The sequence below is a fragment of the Homo sapiens genome, chromosome 13 (assembly GCF_000001405.40).
Source record: "Homo sapiens chromosome 13, GRCh38.p14 Primary Assembly".
In the NCBI taxonomy this organism is placed as follows: domain Eukaryota; kingdom Metazoa; phylum Chordata; class Mammalia; order Primates; family Hominidae; genus Homo; species Homo sapiens.
This window is the reverse complement of record NC_000013.11, coordinates 84,109,968-84,114,397: the sequence shown is the minus strand read 5'-3', so window position 1 is coordinate 84,114,397 and position 4,430 is coordinate 84,109,968.

Genomic DNA, 4,430 nt, shown 5'->3' with positions numbered 1-4,430 from the left:
TGACAAGCAAAAATATCACCAGATATTGCCCGATAATATGCAATAATATGGCTAGGGAGCAAAATGACCCTCAATTGAGAACCACTGGTTTCTGTAGATAATGGGGGAGTGAAAGAATGTGTAAATAGATATATTTCATAGATAAAGCTGAAAGAAATTTCCTGTGAATTGGATATACACTGTGAGAGAGATGATGCCAAGGTTTCTGACTTGAACAGGTGGATGATAAATTGCCATTCCTGAGATCTGGAAGACTAAAAGTGCAGTGGGAATCAATATATCCATTTTGGCCTTACTAAATTTGATAACAGTTAGTTGTAAAAGTACAGTTTAAGGGAGAGCTCAGGTTGTGTATATGAATTTGGTTGCTATATGTATATAGATAGTATTTAAAGCCATAAAATGGATGAGCTCATCCAGGGACTGGGCAGAGATAGAAGACAGGATATATTCAGAGACTGAGCTCTAGGCTCCTGCAATGTTGAGAGCTGGGGAAGATGAGGATCTGCAATGGAGAATGAGCTATCAGATGTGTGCATGTGTGTGCATGCTGATGTGTGTGCTTGATTACCTATTTCCTGTTTTATCTCACCTTCATGAGTACAAAAGAATAAAAAGTTAAAAAAAAAATTACAATGCAGTCTGAATGAGAATATTGTTGTCTTATAGAAATTTTTAATGACAAGGCCGGGCGCGGTGGCTCACGCCTGTAAGCCCAGCACTTTGGGAGGCCGAGGCGGGAGGATCATGAGGTCAGGAGATCGAGACTATCCTGGCTAACACGGTGAAACCCCGTCTCTACCAAAAATACAAAAAATTAGCCTGGCGAGGTGGCGGGCGCCTGTAGTCCCAGCTACTCGGGAGGTTGAGGCAGGAGAATGGCGTGAACCCCAGGGGGCGGAGCCTGCAGTGAGCCGAGATCATGGCACTGCACTCCAGCCTGGGCGATAGCGAGACTCCGTCTCAAAAAAAAAAAAAAAAAAAAAAGAAATTTTTAATGACAAAATACCAACTTAACTGTGTCTACAGAACATTTTTCTTTTTATATTAGCAACTCCTTCCTTTGGGGAATTGCCCCCTCTCTCCTCATCAAACCCTGTAGTTTGGTACTGGCAATGAACCATAATTCCCATCTCTTTAGCTATAATAAAGATGATCTAACCCAAAATTTTCTGGGCTCAGGAGTTGCTGGCAGCCATTGTGCAAAATTTTTGTGCATTAAAAAAAAATTCTCTATATATAAAGGAAGTAAATATAGACTGACAGCAGATATCTTGATGGCATCTGATGCTCTGGTCTAGGATCCCTGATGCCAAATATACTTTCAGCCTTCACAAATTTTGTTCTGAGACTAAATATTCATCACATCCTGCCTATTTCAAGTTGGAATTCTCTCACTTGAAACCCAAATCATTCTGCCTAAAATAATAATGCAAAATGAGTAAATAATGCCAAACACCCATCAAATATGTTTCAGTGTTATGCAGACAAAGCAAAGAAGAAAAATTTAAAAAAGCATGACACGATGTTACCTATGAATAATTATTTGCCTGTTTTTTTCTTACTCCAGGTTGATGATATGCCAAAGAAATCCTAAGTTTTCAAAGGTGAATTTTCTTAAATCCCCTAAAAATAGTTTCAAAATGTCGATAGTGAGAGGCCTTTGGAATTATTTTATTGGTGTCATAAATTCATGTGGAAACAATAAATTCATATCTTATGTGGATGTGTAAAATTCCCTTACCTAAAAAGAGAATTCTAACATTTGAAAAATTAGGATGCATTGCACTGTGACATAAATTATGGTCATTTGCTTTTATTTAAAAATGGGCCAGGCATGGTGGCTGACGCCTGTAATCTCAGCATTTTGGAGACTGAGGTGGCTGGGTCATTTGAGCCTAGGAGTTTGAGACCAGCCTGGACAACATGGCAAATCCCCATCTCTAGAAATAATACAAAAATTAGTCCTGCATTTTGGTGCACACCTATAGTGCCAGTTATCAAGAGGCTGAGGTGGGAGGATTGCTTAAGCCTGGGAGGTCAAGGCTGCAGAGAGCCTGGGAGGTCAAGGCTGCAGAAAGCCTGGGTGACAGAGTGAGACCCTGTTTCAAAAAACTAAACTAAAATAAAAAATAAAAAAATAAAAATGAAAAAGAATGCTAGGCCACCTTACTATTTTCAGCTTTATAGCACAAATTTCATAATAAAACAAATTTAAGAATAGAGCAGGTTTTCCAAAAATAAAAAATTCTAGGGTTTTTAGAGTTCACTGAAAGGAATCTCTATTTTGAAGGCAATTTATTATTTGTTTATGTTACTGTTATGCTTCTCATCCTGGCCTCTTTCCACTATTGGTGCTAGGACATAGTTGATCAAAAACATCTACAATTCTCTGATTACTACCTTTATATTGAGCTCTTTGCTGATATTTATTATATAATTTATTATAAACAATAATTCATAATTTTATAGTTCATCATCTGATGGTGTTCACCTTCATTAAAGACTACATAAGTCTAAATTCTAAAGAAAGTTGCATGCAGCATCTCATGCCTATAGTCCCAGCAATTTGGGAGGCTGAGGTGGGAGGATCACTTCAGCCCAGGAGTTTGAGACCAGCCTGGACAAGATAGTGAGACCTCCATCTCTAAAATAAAAAAAACAATAGCCAGGCATGCTGGCGTGTGCCGGTGGTCCCAACTACTCAGGAGGCTGAGGTGGGAAGATCTCTTAACCCTAAGAGTCCAAGGCTACAATGTGCTAGGATCACACCACTGCACCCTAGCCTGGGTGACAGAGCAAGGCCTTGTCTCTTAAAAAGAAAAATAAAATGCTGAAGAAGACATTTAAGAAGACTTAAAGAAGACTAACACTATAAGATAGTGAACCATTGTTAATTATTATGTTAGCATCTTCTTTATCACTCATTATTTTTCACTTTTCTGTTTGAATTGCAGCATAATGAATCAGAGGGGTTATTCTGCCTCTATCACTTACTTAAGCATCTAATGTCAAAATTTCTTGTCTGCAAAGATAAACAAAAATACCAACCTCATACTTAAGATTTGTAGAGGAGTAAATGAGTGCTTATTTTTAAAGTGCTAAACTCAAGCCAACTTTGAAAATATTAGGTCTTTATGAATATCTCACAACATGATAAACATTCAATAAATATTTGCTAATATATGGAATCCCAATTTCACTCCATACATATAGTTACGTCTTACATAGTTGGCAATTGTTAGCCAATGTGTGCTTTTTCAGAGGACTATATCTATTCTTTGTCTACTGCTGTTTGACATGAAGTATTAGACATAATGCATTTTTTGCAAGTCCCTTCACCCACCTGGCTCAGTTTCTTCATCTCTGAAGTGCACCTACAGATATGTTATGGTGAGATAGTCCTTATGAAGACATATGGACAAAATTTAAATACGAACTAAGTTAATGTGACCTTTTAAATTTCTAGATAATTGTAGATTTATATGTAACTGCCATAAATAATTAAAATATTATATGCCCTTACCCTTACTCAGTTACCCACAAAATCTATAGTAGAGTATAACAACAGGATTTTCACACTGTTATAATTAACCAATCTTATTTATATTTTCCCTAGATTAAGAGTACTGGTATGTGTGTGTGTATGTGTGCGTTGTGTTTGTGTGTGTATATAGTTCTACACAATTTTATCATATGTGTAAGTTTAATAAATTTGAAGTTTTAGAAACTTCTATAGACATTTGCATGACTCTTTTCTTATGCTACTCTTCTTTATTTTGTTCTTTTCCTCAGTAGTCACGTTACTCAATCCAGGAAACACTGACCTAAATGATTTGATATTTAATGTAAGGGTAATTCTGAATAACTTGAGGAGAAAGTTTATGATAAAGAGGAGATTACTCAACATGTACAGAAATACGAATGAGACAAGAGGATAGAAAGAAAATAATCCACGGGCTTAAACTTACCAAAGAAGAAATTATTAGAAATCAAATAGTAAATGTTATCATTACATTAAAAGTCATGAGGTCATGAAGACAGTATTTTAAAGGGGGAGTTAAGCAACACCATTAGAAATACGTTGCAAAATGGAATATTTTCAACACCAGGTAGTTGTATATTAATGCATAACAATGAAATAATTCGATTAACTTGAATATCTACTTAGTGAATATCTATCACATAAATCAATCTCCAGTAATGAAGATGTATAAAACGCATTATTCTCCAGGTACTTATAGTCTAAAAGGAAAATAAAATACATGCATGCATGTGCAAGAGTGGAAATGAGTAATCTAAACAATACATAGATAAGGAATCCAGAGGTAAAAGAGAGCAATTAGGTTAAATAATATTCCACAAAAGAGATGGAGGATTAATTATACTTTGGTATAATAAGTGGAAGATTGCTAGAGAAAAAGGAAAAG